This window comes from Homo sapiens, chromosome 4, assembly GCF_000001405.40.
Source record: "Homo sapiens chromosome 4, GRCh38.p14 Primary Assembly".
Lineage (NCBI taxonomy): Eukaryota > Metazoa > Chordata > Mammalia > Primates > Hominidae > Homo > Homo sapiens.
In genome coordinates, this window is record NC_000004.12 from 77899915 (window position 1) to 77917672 (window position 17758).

The window sequence follows — 17758 nt, forward strand, 5'->3', positions numbered from 1 at the left end:
AAAGCAGAGTAGAATAGTGGTTAGTATAGATCTCTCTTTGTCTTGTCTTTGTCAGTTACTGTGACCTTGAGCAAACTTTTTAACATTTTGTGCCTTATTTATTCATCTACAAAATGAGTTTCATTATAACATCCATCCCATACTGTTTTTGTGATAATGTATGAAGCACAAGCTGGGTACATAACATATGATGTGTGGGCCACTATGATTATCATTAGCTCCCTATCATTCCTAAAGTAGCTATTCATTCTCCACAATTACTTTAGGAGAAGCTATTCTTTTTCATGTATTTATATATCACCTTCATAACTTATTTGTTGAAAAAGCAGATAATTATTGGCATGCCTACCTATGTGCCAGCTGACTACACTTAGTACTGAGGATTGAAAAATAAACTGAAAAGACATTTTCTGTCTTTAAGAAGATAAACACTGAGGAGAGAGAGATGAGAGCAAACTGCTGCACTAAAATGCAATAAGTTTATTGGTAGAAAATGTACAAAGTATTGTAGAGGAATGAGGGACTGCTTTGTAGAATGAGATTATATAAAGAAGACTGCAGTTGAGAGGTTAAGCATGAATAGGCATTTGCTTTCCTTACATGAATCAGGCAGAGGAAATGGCCATTTTACATATACAAAAGTATGAGAGAGCCAGTAGTGTTCAAGAAATTATAAGCAGCTTTCTATCATTTGGTATATAAAATGTTATCAGATACTGGTGGTCAATGGGATTGGACAGTGATAGACAGTGGGCTAGGTCACAGCAGGCTTTGTGTGCTATACCATGGAGATTAGATTTTATCCTCTTTGCAAATAGGAGCCATTGAAAACTTTAGCTCAGAAGAATGATGTAAGATTTGCTTATCAGAATGAGTATTGTGAGAACTGTATAAGTGGTAGGGTAGCCATATGAGGATGGTGAAACTTTAAGAACAGAGACCAGCGAGGAGGCGATTACAGTAATCCAGGTAAAAGATGAAGAAGGAAAGAGTCTGGTAGTGGCAGTGAAGACAGATGAGGAAAGATGTTGTTGGATATTAAGAATTAGAATTAACAGGAGTTATTGATTAAATGTAGGGGGTAAGGGAGGGGGAAGGATCTAGAATGATTTCCTAATTTTGGTCTTGAGTAGCCTAGTAAATACTATTTTAACTATAAATGCACAGGAAGTAAAGCAGATTTGGGTATGACAATAATATCACAAGGTGAAGGGGTCAAGGAGGTAGATAAGCTGGCGCAACTTTATTTTGTATTAACATGAAGCATTAACAGTATTAATATGAAGTAGGTTGTGGTTAGTATGCACATTGTGCTCCCTAGAGCAAGTAAAACATACTCACACAAATAAATATAGCTTAAAACTATAAATAGAGGAATAAAAATGATATGCTAAAATTTTTTTATTTAATAAGCCTGTAAAGGAGGAACAGAAGAACAAATAAGATGAAACAAATAGAAAACACATATCAAAATAAAGACCTAAATTCAGCCATATAAATAGTTATGATAATTGGAAATGGACCACACACTCCAAGAAGCAGAGATTATAAGATTAAAAAAAAAAAACCCAACTATATGCTGTCTACAAGAGACACGTTATAGTCAAACACAAATAGGCTGAAAGTAAAATGGTGGATAAAAATATACCATAAAAACTATAAGCATTAGAGAGTTGGATTCTATATTAATATCAGACAAAATAGACTTTTAAGACAATGATTATTATTAGAGAAAAAGATGGATATTCTATAATAATAATAAGACTCATCTTAAAGCTTCAAAATACTTGAGGCAAAACCTGACAGAATTGAAAGGAGAAATAGACTAATCATCAAGTACAGTTGGAGATTTTAATATTCGTCTCAGTAACTGATAGAACATATAGACAGAAAATTAGTAAGGATATAAAATATTTGAACAACACTCTTAGTCATCTTGGCCTAGCTGATGTCTATAAAACACCCAACAACAGCAAATGTTGTTTGGTGTTGAACATTCACCATGGTAGACCATTTGCTGAGTTACAAGGCAGGTCTGAATATATTAAGTCTTAAATTTATGAATGTAAAAGAATTGAAGTGACACACGTATGTGTTCTGATTTGCAACTGAGTTAAATTAGAAATCAGTAACCATGAAAAATCTCTAAATAAATTAAAATGAAAAAGCCCACTAGTAAATAACTCATTGATCAAAGAAGAAATGAAAGACTGTCTTAAACTGAATGATACTGAAAACTCAACATGTCAGAACTTGTGGGATGCAGCTGAAGCAGTACTTAGAAGGAAATTTATAGTTTTAAAGGCTAAATTAGCTGGGCACAGTGGCATATGCCTGTCATTCCAGCCACTTGGGAGACTGAGATGGGAGGATCCCTGGTGGCTAGGAGTTCAGGGTGGCAGTGCTCTATGATTGTGCCTGTGCATAGCCACTGTACTCTAGCCAGGGCAACATAGTGAGACCGGCTTTCTAAAAAAAAAAAAAAAAAAAACCGAGTTAGAAAAGAATGGGTTAAAATCATTGTTCTAAGATTTTTATCTTATAAACCTAGAAAAAAAGAAGCAAATTAAACCCAAATTAAGTACAAGGAAGAAAAAATAATAAAGAACATAGTGGAAGTCACTGATATAGAAAAAGAACAAACAATAGCAATGAAAGCAAAACTGGTTCTTTAAAAAGTTCAATAAAGCTGATAAAACTTTAGCTGGACTGATTTTTTTTTTAAAAAGGGAAGACAGATTATTAATATCAGGAATGAAAGCGGTGACATGAATACATATCCCATAAATTTAAATGATAATAAGGAAATATGAATACATTTATGCAAATAAATGTGACAATTTACATAAAATGACACATTCCTTGAAAGACAAATTATCAAAAGTTTCTGGAAGAAATGGAAAACCTGAATAGATCTGTATAAAGGAAAGAAATTGAATTAGTCATGTATAAGTTCTCCCATGAAAAGTCCAGGCCCACCTGATTCCCACTGGTGAATTCTATCCAACGTTTTAAGGAAGAAATAATACCAATTCTTCACAACCTCTTTTAGAAAATAGTGAGTAAAGAACATTGACCAGCTTGTTTTATGAGCTCTGCATTACCCTGATAACAAAGGTAGACAAGGACATTACGAGAAAACTACAGGATTTTTCCTTCATGAGAATAGACGCAAAAAATACTGTTAACAAAATATTAGCAAGTTGAATCCAGCAATATATATGTACATAAAAATAAAGGTTAATACACCTTAACCAGTGACATTTATTCCAGTTATTCAAAATTGGCTTAATATCTGAACATCAATATAATACACCATGTTAGTAGAATAAAAGATGAAAACGTTGATATCATCTCAGATGCAGAGAAAGCATTTTGGCAATAATAACTCTCAGAATACTGGAAATGTAAGTGAAATTCCTCAACTTGACACAGCACATCTATGAAAAAGCAATATTCTTAATGGTGAGATCATTGAGAAGGAATGCTTTCTACCTAAGATCAGGAACAAGGCAAAGATCTCTGCTGTCAGTGCTTATGTTCAACATTGTACTGGATGGAGGTCAGTGAAATAAAGGGCATACATAAGGGAAAGGAAGAAATAAATCTTTTTTTATTCCCAGATGATACTAAGCTATTTTAGTGAGTGAATTCTAATTAGTGAATTTAATGAGGTTATAGGATACAAGGTCCATGCATGAAAATCAGTGGTATTTCTATATGTAACCAACCTACAATCAAACTGAAATTTCTAAAACAGTTCCATTTATGTGAGCATAAAGAAATAAAAATATTTAAGAGGAAATTTAACGGAAGCTGTGCAAGACCTTTTCATAGAAAACTGGTAAATGTTGCTGAAAGTTAATAGAGGGATATACCATAGTAGTGGATTTGAAAGCATATTATTAAGATAAACTTATTTTTTTCTATAGATTGAATGTAATCCCAACCAAACTCCCAGAAAGCTTTAAAAAAAAAAGTTGGCAAGCATATTCTCATGTTTAAATGGAAATAAAGAGAACCTAGAATGGAAAAAATGATTTTAGGCTGAGCGCAGTGGCACACTCACACCTGTAATACCAGTACTTTGGGAGGCCGAGGCAGGACGGTTTCGTGAGTTCAGGAATTCAAGACCAGCCTGGGCAAAATAGCAAGACCAAATCTCTACTTAAAAAAAAAAAAATCTACTGGGTGTGGTGGCATGTGCCTGGAGTCCCAGCTACTTGGGAGGCCGAGGTGGGAGGACTGCTCAAGCCCAGGAGATTGAGGCTGCAGTGAGCTGAGATCGTGCCACTGCAGTCCAACCTGTGACAAAGCAAGACTGTGTCTTAAAAAAAAAAAAAAGGAGAAAAAGTTTGTCCGGGCATGCTGGTTCATACCTGTAATCCCAGCACTATGGGAGGCTGAGGCAGGTGAATCACTTGAGGCTGGGAGTTTGAGACCAGCATGACCAACATGGTGAAACCCCATCTCTACTAAAAATACAAAAATTAGCTCAATTTGGTGACACATGCTTGTAATCCCAGCTACTTGGGAGGCTGAGGCAGGAGAATCACTTGAACCTGGGAGGTGGCAGTTACAGTGAGCCAGGATTGCACCACTGCACTCTAGCCTGGGTGATGGAGTAAGACTGTGTCTCAAAAAAAAGAAAAAAAGAAATTAAAAGAGAGAATGATTTTTAAAAGGAAGAACACAGTTTGAGATGTGAGACTTTATCATAGAGCTACAGTAATCAAGACAGTGTGGTATGGTATAAAGGATAAATGAAGATAGATCAGACACTGAGGTTCAGAAATGGACCTAAACTTATATGATCAACTGATTTTCAGCAAAGGTGTCAAGGTTATATGGAAAAAGAATAATTTTTTCAATGAATTGTGCTGAAATAACTGGATAATTGTTTCCTCACATCAAACACAGAAATTAATCCAAAATGGATCATAGACCTAAATATAAAAGATAAAGTCATGAAATTCTAGAAGAAAATTTTTCTAGGAGAAAATCTTCATGGCCTTAGATTAAATAAATATTTCTTAGGACACAAAAAGCATGAGCTATAGAAGAAAAAATTGCTAATTTGGACTTAATCAAAATTAAACATTTTTGCTCATGGGTGAATACCCCTAAGAAAATGAAAAGGCAAAGTCATAGATTAGGGGAAAATATTTGCCACACATAGCTCTGAACAAGAACCTGTATCCATAATATATAAAGAACTCATAACTCAGTAAGACTGTCAACCTAATTTTTTAAAAAAGGGGCAAAATAGTTGAGTAGGTATTGTACAAAAGAATATACGTGGCTGGGCGCAGTGACTCATGCCTGTAATCTCAACACTTTGGGAGGCCGAGGCAGGAGGATCACCTGAGGTCAGGAGTTCGAGACCAGCCTGGCCAACCTGGTGAAACCCTGTTTCTACTAAAAATACAAAAATTAGCTGGATATGGTGGCGCACACCTGTAATCCCAGCTACTTGGGAGGCTGAGGCAGGAGAATTGCCTGAACCTGGGAGGCAGAGGTTGCAGTGAGCCGAGATCGCACCACTGTACTCCAGCCTGGGCAACAGAGCGAGACTCCGTCTCAAAAAAAAAAAAAAAAAAAAAAAAGAATATATGTAATTGGTCATTAAACAGATGAAATAATACTAAACATCTTGATCATTGGGGAAATGCAAATTAGACAAAGAAGAAGGAATATACAAGGTCAAAGGAAGGAAGTTTTGTTTGTGTTTTAGGATGGAACTACCTTAAAAACTAAAATCTACATCATCAATCTATCACCTTTTTTCTAGTTCCTTTTTTCTAACTATACAGATATATACATTTTTTGATATTCCATCAGACCTTCACTTTAGTATGTTTTAATGCAGAACTATTTCTCTTTTCTTCTTGAGTCCTGTTCTTTCTGTCTTCATTACCATTACATCATCAGTATGATATCAGGCTCAAAATTATGAAGTCCTTTATGTGTTTATTCTTCCAGGAGACATTTATCATATTTACTCCTTACTAATAACTTGCCTGCATCTAGGTAGAGATATCAAATTGGTGGTTGGAAATCATGAGAGAGATTGGGGCTGGAGATAAGCATTTAGAAGTTATCAGTGGATAGATGGTATTTAAAGCCATGTGTCTGCATGAGATCAGTCAGGGAGGTGTGCATGGATAGGATAAGAGAAGTAACATGACTGATCCCTGAGGTAGTTCAACCTTTGGAAGGCAGCTAAGTGAGGGTGGGTGGCTCAGCCCTTGAAATGAAATGAAATAGCCAGTGAGAATCATGTTTCAGAGGACAAGTCAAGATACTGTAGGAAGAGGACAGATTACATTGTGAACTCCTGCTGATAGGTCAAGTCAGAGGAACACTGAGAAGTGACTACTGGATTTGCCAATGTGAAGGTTACTGAAGTAGGTATAAGAGAAAATAGAAGGACACGAAATAGAGATGGCTTTTTTTTTTTGAGAACTTACATTAAGAGGAATGTTGGGTGGTAACTGGAAGGCAACATAGGAGACTTGTTTATTTTATTTTGAAAAGGAAGATTTTATAGCAAGTTTGTAAGCTAATGAAGATTGTCTAGGGAAGCAGGGAAAATTGACAATGTAGAGGAAAGAAGGGAGGAGCAGCGTCCTTTTATGGGTGAGTAGAAGTGGGGCTGAGCACAGAAATGAAGAGGAATGGCCTTTGTTAGGGGCATAGACAGTTCACCCATAGTGACAGGAAGGCAGGCAGTGTTGTGGGCTTAGATTTAGGTCAGTCACTAAATAATTCTTGAGCTTTTAGTATGTACAAGGCACTGTTCTTATGAAAACAAACGTAAAAAAATATATTTAAGTAAAGAAATTTAAATAGAGATGTAGATGGTTTAACCAGGTATCTGTTTTTTGTATACCACTATTAGCATCTTAACTGTTTACTAGTATACAATTTTATCATATTGTTTAGTATTCAGTTACATCAGACTGTGATACTGAAAAAACTTAGTATTTTTTAGTAATTATTCATTTGTATATCCATTATCTCCCAATTAGATTTTAAACTGCCTATGGGTAGTTGCTTTCACTTATAGCTGTAGTGCTCCTGAGCCAACTGAACAACTGCTGAGATAATCCTAGGAATAATGTATGCTGAGGGTATGCCGTGCTCTCTATGTAATGAGTTCCTCACATTGATTCATCTATGGAAGACTTGCTTGAGCATGGTGGGAGTGATGTCTCTTCAGTGGCACAGTCTTCATTCTATTTCTTACCCTTTAAATAATTCACATTTTTCAGTGCATGGAATTAAATTTTCAAGGTAAGTTATGGTATAGTGGAATATACCATATTTTTGTTTATTAAATTTGTGTTAAAATGATAATGACTAAATCTTAGGAGAGAAATAGTTTATTTTGTAGTCTCCTGTATGATCCTTTGAAGATTCTTAATTTTTATCCTGATTCCATTTTTCTCCTTACTATATTTAGTTGCATCCCTTTCTCTACCTAATGGAGGACAAAGTGACATTAGAATCCAATAAATTGTTTCAGTTTTTAATTATTTTCTCATGGGTCTTTCTCTCTCTCTCTCCCTCCCTCCCTCCCTCCGTCTCTCTCTCTCCCCCTTCCTCCTTCCCTCTCTCTCTCTCTCTCAGCCTCCCTCCCTTTCTTTCTCCCCTCCCCTCCTGTTCTTGATGGAGTCTTCCTTTGTTGCCCAGGCTGCAGTGCAGTGGCATGATCTCAGCTCACTGCAACCTCCGCCTCCTGGGTTCAAGTGATCCTCCTGCCTCAACCTCCCAAGTAGCTGGGTTTACAGGCATGCGCCACCACCTCAGCTGATTTTTGTATTTTTAGTAGAGACGGGGTTTCGCCGTGTTGGCCAGGCTGGTCTCGAACTCCCAACCTCAAGTAATCTGCCCACCACGGCCTCCCAAAGTGCTAGGATTACAGGCATGAGCCACCATGCCCAGCCTCTCATGCCAGTTTCTTTCTTTTCTTTTCTTTTTTTTTTTTTTTGAGACAGAGTCTTGCTCTGTTGCCCAGGCTGCCAGGCTGGAGTGCAGTGGCTCATTCTCGGCTCACTACAATCTCTGCCTCCCAGGTTCAAGTGATTCTCCTGTCTCAGCCTCCTGAGTAGCTGGGATTACAGGTGCCTGCCACCATGCCCGACTATAGAAACTCATGCCAGTTTCTGTAACCATTTGTGTAATAATGAGCTACCTCTATACTGTATCATTCACTATGATATTGTTTCCACTGCTAAATGTTTCTGCTTTTTAGTTTTTTTTTTCTTTCACTTCTTTATGGTAGGTAAAATGTTCTTAAAAGATTCCAAGACCGTACTGTTATTATTTTTTTTTTTTGACAGTCTCACTCTGCTGCCCAGGCTGGAGTGCAGTGGCACAATCTCAGCTCACTGCAACCTCTTCCTCCCGAGTTCAAGCAATTCTCCTGCCTCAGCCTCCCAAGTAGCTGGGATTACAGGTGTGCACCACCACACCCAGCTAATTTTTGTATTTTTAGTAGAAACAGGGTTTCACCATGTTGGCCAGGCTGGTCTTGAACTCCTGACCTCAGGTGATCTGCCTGCCTCGGCCTTCCAAAGTGCTGGGATTACAGGCGTGAGCCACCATGCCTGGCCAGTGTTATCTTTTGCCATAGGTTATTTTATAGATTTTATTTTAATATGTCATCTGTGTTTTTAATGTATGCTGTATATTATTATTGCATATACTTAGGTATTAGTTATCCATAATGGTGCAACAATATTACCACAAACAGTTGCTTGAAACAACACGCATTTATTATCTCACCATTTCTGTGTGTCAGGAATGTATGTGTAGCAGAGTTGGGTTCTCTGCTTAAGGGTCTCACAAAGCTCCACTCAAGGTATTGGCCAGAGAGGTGGTTTCATCTTAGACTCAATGGGCGATGGATCTGCTTGCAGACTTACACAGTTGGCAGAATTCAGTTCCTGTAGGCTGCTGGACACAGGGCTTCAGTTTCTTGCTGGCTGTTAGCTTGAGTCTGCTCTCAGCTTATTGCCCTGTGGCCCTCTCCATATGGCAGCTCACAGCATTGCAGCTTGTTTCTTCAAAGCCAGTAAGGAAGATAGTCTTCTTCAAGACAGGCATTATAGCTTTATGTAATGTAATTATGTACACATGATTATTCTGTCTCTTGGTTTGAAGCAAGTTGCAAGTTTCATTCACACTCAATGAATGTGAACACCAGGAAACAGAGCTCTTTGGAACTAAAGTTTATCTGCCACAATTTATTTGCTATATCTTTACATGAGATATGTGTTTCTTTTATTCAGTAATTTTTACTACTTATTTGGAGTGATAATTGTGGATTTTACTTTTTCTAACTAGATTCCATTGGCCGTGACATCCCCAAAATGCTTGAATTATTTAAAAATGGACATGAAATTAAGGTAGATGAAGAAAGGGAGAACTTTCTCCAGACCAAAATAGCAACAGTAAGTTACAATGAAAATTATCAAATAATCCTCTTTTTTTGTTGTTCAAGTATTCTTCAGTAATTTATAATATTATAAAATGCCAGTCATTTGAACTTGTTTTTGGCACTAGCATTAAGAATGGCATTAAACATACGCATAGATACTTTTTTTATTCTATAAATTAAACTCATAAATTTTAATGGTACTTGAGAATTTCTTCCAGAGTTATGTGCTACTCTCACATTTACTTGTACTTTGCCTTATTTATCTGTTGTATGTATACACTTTTGTATTTATGTATTATATTTTAAGCTTATTGAGAATAGGGTTTAGATTTTGTATGTCCCCCTAATCAAGATTGCATAATGCTGAGCACATAGTAGGTGTTCAATACTACTTTAGTGGAATTGAGTAATTTGCTTTATTTTAATGAATTATGTCCAATTTTCTCTGCTAGTGTTTTTAAAATTGTTTGCCTGCTTTTAGAAGATGCTGGAAATCAGTTTCCAAAGCCATTTTTAGGATACTAATGTAGATATGCCACATTTCTAGGACTGTGTTTTAAAATATATTGTCATTACAAACATTAAAGTTATTTATACTAAAGAATCTCTAAAGTGCCTATCCAACATATGTAATTTTTTTCTTGTTCATTTACTATAGGAATAACAGTAATTGATAAATTGATAGCAAAATTTAAACAGGACCTACCAAGTGTCAGTTGCTATTCTAAACAATTTTTGTATATTCTGTCTTTTAATTGTTAGCCATATGAGAGGTAAAATGATCACCCCTGTCTTATAGATGAAGGCATGCAAGCCCAGAGAAGTTAAGTAACTTTTCCAAGGTCTCACAGCTACTATGAGGCAGAATAAGCATTTGAACTTTGGCAGTTTCCTCAAGTCCAGGCTCTTTATCCCTATACCATCTTGCCTCATGACTGGAATTATTTGAATAGCTATTATTCTTTCTCTTTGCCTTCCCATCTTACTCTTAAGGGGAATTCTGCATTATAGCTAGTAGTCCAAGCTCATTGAGCTGTGCCCACTGCAGGTCATCAGAAATATAGAAAAAGCTGAGTGACACAGCCTAGGCAACGTGGTGAAACCCCATCTCTATAAAAAATACAAAAAAATTAGTTGAGTGTGGTGGCATGCACCTGTAGTCTAGCTACTTGGGAGGCTGAGGCGATCCCTGGGATCACCAAGGTTGCAGAGTGAGACCCTGTCTCAAAGAAAACAAACCAAACCAGAAAGTAAAGAAAAAGCTGGGTGCTATGTTGCCCAGGCTGGCCTCAAACTCCTATGCTGAAATAATCCTCCCTTAGCCTTCTGGGTAGATGGGACTACAGATGTATGCCACCATGCTAGGCTTCTCAGCTAGTTTTATGGTCAAAAAACAAAAAAACTTGCTTTAGAAATGGAGCAAAGCAGGTTTAATCTAGTTGGGGAAACCCCAGCTTGCCATCATTATCATCAAAGCTCAGCTCCAATTTATTTGGCACTGAGCTCTGCTCCAGTCTAATGTTGGAATTTCCTTGTTCCCCAAAAGGCCTTTGACAGTACTTCTTGTTTCTTAGGGTTGACAACATTGTAATTGAAAAACCAAACAAATGAAACATAAAATACAAATTTTAAGAGTCTATTCTGAAGTTGTAGAGACTTGAGTTTGAATACCTACCTTTTCAGCTACTTCAGAGATGGCAGATTTTAAGGAAGTTTCTTAATGTTGTTGTGTCTCAAATTTCCTCATCTATAAAATGTGTATAATAGTACTTCTTTCACTATGTGGTTTTGAAGATTACATAAAATTTTAAAATGGTAACATCTATTGTTATTGTTTTGGTTGGCCTTTTGGGACTGTGGAATATCCTTATAAGGCTCTTTTTAGCTGGATTAAATCTGTCTTAAGTAATGTTTTCAGTATATTTAGTAGTTAATAGTTTATGTAGATCCTGACTCAGAATATAAGAAACCATGACATCGCATTCATTTCTTTCAACAAATACCATAGTGATTAAGACATAGGTCTTAATCACTAAGTAGTAGATCACTAAGTAGTAGATCAGAGGAGATATAATTTCTTAATGAAAAAGAAATTATGTGTTTAAAGAGTTTTTTTTTGAACACTTAGTATTGCAGTATAGAAGGATGTTGAGAGTGGGTTTTAGATTCCTGTTGTCTTGATTCAAACCCTTGTTCCAGCTAGAAAGAGCTGTACCCCCTTGCTCTCTGAGCCTCAATTTTTCCCCATTTCCCATTTCTCCTGTATATAAAATCATGGTAATAATATGTACCTTCTAAGCTAGGAAGGAATAGATGAGATAATAACATAATAACCATTTAGCAGAGTACTTCTGGATAAGGGGGAGTAACAGGGACCTAATTTATCCTCCTACCTAAAACAGTCAGCATTATTTGATACCAAAACCAGACAAAGAAAACCACAATGCAGTATCATTCGTGAACATAGATGTAACAATTGCAAACTAAATTTTAGCAAATAGAATCCAGCAATATATAAAAAGGGTAACATATCATGCTCAAGTAGGGTTTATTCTAGGAATGCAAGGTTAGTTTAACATTCAACAATTAATCATTACAGTTCACCATATTAAGAAAGTAAAAAACAAAAGCCATATGAGCATTGCAGTGGATGCAGAGAAAGCATCTGACAGAATCCAACATCTGTTTCTGATTAAAAAGTCTCAGCAAACTAGGAATAGAAGTCCATGTCCTTAACCTGAAAAGAGTGTCTAAGAAAAGTCAAAGCTGACATCATATTTAGTGGTGAAACACTGAATGTTGCATTTCTCCTAAGATCAGGAACAAGACAAGGACATCCGTCTCACCACTGCTTCTTTTCAACATTGATCTGGGGCTTCTAGTTAGCGCAATCAGGCAAGAAACAGAAATAAAAAGTCAACTAGATTAGAAAGGAAGAAGTGAAACTGTCATTATTCACAGATTACATGTTCTAGCTACTAGAACAACGAAGTGAGTTAACTAAGGTTGAAGGTAGAAGCTCAATGTACAAAAATGTTTCTGTATAACAGCAAGGAACAATTAGAAATTGAAATGAAAAAGCAACAAATGCCATTTGTAGTAATAGCAAATATATTAAATACTTAGGGGTAAATCTGACAAAGATGTGGAAGATCCATACACCGAAAACTTTAAAACATGGTTAAGAAAAATAAAAAATCTAAATAAATGGTGACTATATACCTTGTTTATGGATCAGTAGACTCAATATTGTTAAAAATATCAATTTTCCCCAAGGTAATCTATAGATTCATAGCATTCTCAAAGTACCAGTCAACAGTTTTGTAGAAACTGACTAGCTGATTCTAAAATTCATAGAAAAATGCAAAGTATCTAGAATAGCTAAGACAACTTTTTTGAAAAAGAACAAAGTTGGAAGTCTACCTGATTTCAAGATTTATAAAGCTGCAGTAATTAAGACAATGTGGTATTGACATCAAAAGAAAACAGTTAATGGAATAGAATAGAGAGTCCAGAAAGAAAGACAAAACATGCATATATGGACAACTGATTTTCCACAAGGTACAATGGCATTTTTTCTGGAGAAAGGATAGTTCTTTCAACAAACAGTACTGGAACAGTTGGATGTCTATATGTCATAAAATGAAATTCAACCAATACTTCAAGACATATATAATAATTAAGTAAAAATGAATCAAAGACCTAAATGTAAAGCCTAAAATTATAAAACTTTGAGAAGAAAAAGTTGGGTTAGGGGATGTTTCTTAGATAAGACATGAAAAGCATGATCCATAAAAGAAGAAATTGATAAATCACCCTATAAAAATTAAAAGCTTCTACTCTTTAAAAGACACTGTTAAGAGAAAGAAAAGACAAATTACAGACTGGGAAAAATATTTGAAAATCATGTATCTGATAAATTCAAAATATATAAAGAACTGTCAAAAACTCAATAATAAAACTACCCAATTTTAAAAATCAGAAAACATGAACACACCTCACTATGGAGATATATAGATGACAAACACATGGAAAGATGCTCAGCATCTTTAATCTTTAGGAAATGTAAATGAAAACCACAATGGGATAACACACATCTATTTGGAATGAATAAAGTTAAAAAGACTGGCCATACCAACTGCTGTAAGGATGCGGTGGGACTTGAGCACTCTTACAGCGTTTGTGGGTATGTTAAATGATGCAACCTCTTTGGCAAACAATTTGGCAGTTTCTTAAAGTTGCACATCCGCCTACTATATGATCCTGCTATTCCACTTTTAGATACTTAGGAGAAATGAAAACATGTGTCCATACAAAGACCTGTAAGCAAGGGTTCATATCAGATTTATCTGTGATAGCCCCAAACTGGAAAATTTCCAAATGTTCACTGCAGGTGAATATAAAAAAAATTCTTCAGTAATAAAAAGAAATAAAGTTGATACATTCTACCATACTGATGGATTTCAAAATAATTTTGCTGAGTGAAAGAAGTTAGAAAAAAGGGAGCACATCCTGTATGATTCTTTTTGTATAAAATTCTGGCAAATGCAAACTAATGTATGATGACAGAAAGCAGACCAGTGGTTGCCTTGGGGTCAGAGGTGGGTGAAGAGGGGCAGGAAGGAAGAATTACAAAGGCACACAGTAAATTTTGGAAGTGATTGTTATGTTATTCTGACTGGTGATTGTTGCATGTGTGTATACATAAGTCAAAGCTTAGTGAATTGTAGGCATTAAGAATGTGGAGGATATCCAATGGAATACTATGTAGCAATAAAAAAGAATAAACTAAGGATACATGGTACAACATGGATAAACCTCAAGAATATTATGCTCAGGGAAAGAAGCCAGACACAGAAACTACTTGCTGTATGATACCATTTATATGCAATATTCAGAAAAAGCAAAAGTATAAAGACAAAAAGTAGATTAGTAGTTGCATAGGAGGGGTGGGAGGAAACAGGTATTAATGCTAAGTGTGCATGGTCATATTGGGGTGATAATGTTTTCAAACTGATTTATGGTGATGGTTGCACAACTCGATCAACCTACTAAGAAACATTGAATTTTACATCAGAAAATGGTAAATAATATATGCAAAGTATGCCTCTATAACATTAATTAAAAACGTGCAGTATGTCAAGTTTTAGAAAAGTAAAACAAGGTTTTAGTTTTACAAAGTAGTAAAAAACTGTACCATTGTATTATGCAAAATAATTGTTTCGTAAATTTTATTATTAGAATTATCTTATAGTTAAAAATTTAGAAATGATTTTACAGCAATTTAATGAGGTTTCCTTGAGTGAAATTATTCTTATTATGCAGTTGAAAATATTGAAGATGTGGTATTTGTGTGTGTGTGTGTGTGTGTCTGTAGCCAATATGTTATGACAAATTGATATAGAATGAGTGCAGCAGATAAAAGGGCACTGACGGTATGACGGTATCACATGCCTATTAAGCGTCCTTATTTTGGATAAAAGGAAGATATCTAGAACAGGGGTCAATAAATGACAACCAGGGGCCAAATCTGGTTGTGGCTGTGGCCTGTTTTTGTATAGCCTGTGAGCTAACAATGGTCTTTACAGTTTTAAAGGTTGTAAAAAATAAAGGATAGCTACAGAGACTGGATATGGCCTGCAAAGCCTAAATAATTCACTATCTGGCTCTTGATTTGCTGACTTCTGATCTAGAAAGATGTTTTTTGGGAGAGTGAAATGGATTAGTTTTGTGTGTCTACTTACCTGTACAGGAGAGACTCTCACTGTAGTTAAATCATCTTGATGTTCTGTGTTACGATTCTGCATTTCAAGATCCATTTCTAGTATTGATGTAATACGGAATTGATCTTGAGTAGTTTATAGTTTTCCTTCTGTATCAATGTGCTAAATATGGTCAGTTGAATGATCTTTCTTAATTATTTAACTTGAGGATTAGTATCTTGGATATTAGAACTCAGCCACTACTGCCTTTGTATATCCAAACTGTGTATACTAATGCTCTTACAGTCAGCCAGTATCTAACATTTGTCAGCAGTACTTGCAGGTAAATTAGTTTTTTTCGCTTCTCTTTGCTTGTTTTTTAGATAGGGTCTTACTGTATCACCCAAGCTGGAGTACAGTGGCTTGATCTCAGCTCCCTGCCAGGCTCAAGTGATCCTCCCATCTCAGCTCCTTAACCCAGTAGCTGGGACTACAGGTGTGCGCCACCATGCCCAGCTAATTTTTGTATTTTTTGTAGAGACGGGTTTTGCCATGTTGCCTAGGCTGGTCTCCAACTCCTGGGCCCAAGTGATCTGCCCACCTCAGCCTTGCAAAGTTATGGGATTACAGGCACAAGCCACTGCCCCGGCCTTAGTTTTGTTCTTAATATTTCCTACCATTTGTATCTGTAACTTACATAGTCATGAAATTGGTTATGTCTTATGCTATCAAATCAAATGCTCATATCAGTGAAAATGTCATAAGATGATACGTTGAACATCATGAAGACAAAACAAGTTATTGGAATATGTTATTTTTTAATCAGTTATATTGCTATCACATAGACACCATTTATTTTCTCTCATAGCATGAAGCATAATTGGTTGGGATAAAAGCAAGCTGCCAAGAGATCAGATAAAAGGGAAAAGTCTTAGAGCATAAAACTGAAAATAAAGAGCTACAGAGGAGAAAAAGTACATTTCTTCAACCTTTTTCCCCCAATGGCTCTTTCCATGACATAGAAATGAAACTAAGGCAGATTCTCAAAAAATGAATTTGAGACATATGTACCTGGCCAATGTTTATATTCTAAATAGCAGTTTAATTTCAGATAGTAATTAAATAATTTTAAAAGGATTTATCTGAGTTTGCTATATAGAAAATAATATAGTCATAATTCTGCTATCCAGATAACTTTTGACATTTAAAAAATTTCAAATTAATATACATACATGGTTAAATTCAAATAATTCACAAAAGCATATTAAGAAACACTAGAACCCATTTCCCTGCAATAGTTTTCTTGTGGAACTTAAAAAACTTTTAATTAATATATGTACATGGTTAAGTTAATTTACAAATGCATATAAAGAAACACCAGAGCCCCTTTCCCTGCAATTGTTTTCTTGTGGAATTTCTATTTACAGTTTTATTTTTGTTCTTCCAGAAATATTAAGGCATAAACCTAGGCACCCTTATAAAATTCATTTAATTATATTATGCCACACATACTATTCTGTAGCTTTCTTTTCTGTGGATAAAAGTGTAGCATGGATGTCTTCAAATATATAGTATGAATGTCATCAAAGATGCAAAGAGATCTGCCACATTCTTTTTAAGGCCTGCATAGAGTTGTATTCTATCATATACCATAATCAGTTCCTTATTGATGGGCCTTTAGTTTGTGTCCCGATTTTTGCTATTGCAAATGATACTTAATGAAAATTTCACAAAGAAATATTGCCAAAATTCTCTAAGTATATCCATAAGGTAAATTTATAGAAATAGAGTATATGTTGAAAATTTTATTATATGAATTCCCAAATTACTTTCTAAAATGTTTATACTAATTTATCATTATCCAACAGTGTGTTAAAGTACTTGTATCTTTATACCCTCACTAGCATTGGGTATTATCACACTTAAACATTTTGTCAGTTTGAAAGTTGATATAGGTGTGAGTGTGAGCACATGTGTACTTTTAACAGCTTAAAAATTTCAGTGTGAACATTATCATTGTTTCTTTGGTTACAGTGTTATTCTCTTTTACCCCTTAAGATTCTGAATTTCCTCATCTGTCCACCATTCTTATTTCCTTTATTTTCATATTCCTAGCCCCACTCTTATTCTCCACAACTCTCTTTTTTGTGTATGCAGTCTCCTATTGACTCCTTTTACCATAGACCGTTTCTGACTCACCCCTACCATCACCTGCTCTGTTTACAAGTGCCTGGTAAATAAAATTGACAAGAGCCATGATCATTAAAAGTTGATTGTAAAATTGAAGTGTTCACAAACACTGAGATTGCCTGGCATTTGCTAACTACTGAAAAGAAAGCCTTTTCTATCCAGTAGAAAAGGGGACCGGTTTTTCTGACCCATGATACAGTAGGGATTTTTAATGTATCCTATGTATTTAAAAAATTATCCTTATTTTTTGACTTTTCTTAAGCTTTATTTTCTGATCAGGTAAAATTATCGTTAGCTCATTTAGAATCTAAGCATAAAAAAAAACAGAAAACAACCAACTTAATATGTAAATTCTCTTTAACAAATATGTAAAAATACTGGCTCTGATCCAGACACAATGCTGGTGATACAAAAAGATTAT

General features: G+C 35.4%; 1 protein-coding gene across 3 annotated transcripts in view; it reads left to right on the top strand.

The window, feature by feature from the left end:
- MRPL1 (mitochondrial ribosomal protein L1) overlaps positions 1–17758 on the top strand; it is an 89956-nt gene that overhangs the window by 37085 nt on the left and 35113 nt on the right. For 2 of the 3 annotated variants that reach the window (XM_047416089.1, NM_020236.4), the window contains exon 7: positions 9352–9458. In XM_047416089.1, coding sequence (XP_047272045.1) covers positions 9352–9458 — 107 coding nt within the window. Of the gene's footprint in view, positions 1–7031; positions 7293–9351; positions 9459–17758 lie in introns of those variants that run through there. The other variant, XM_047416090.1, reaches the window with a different exon arrangement.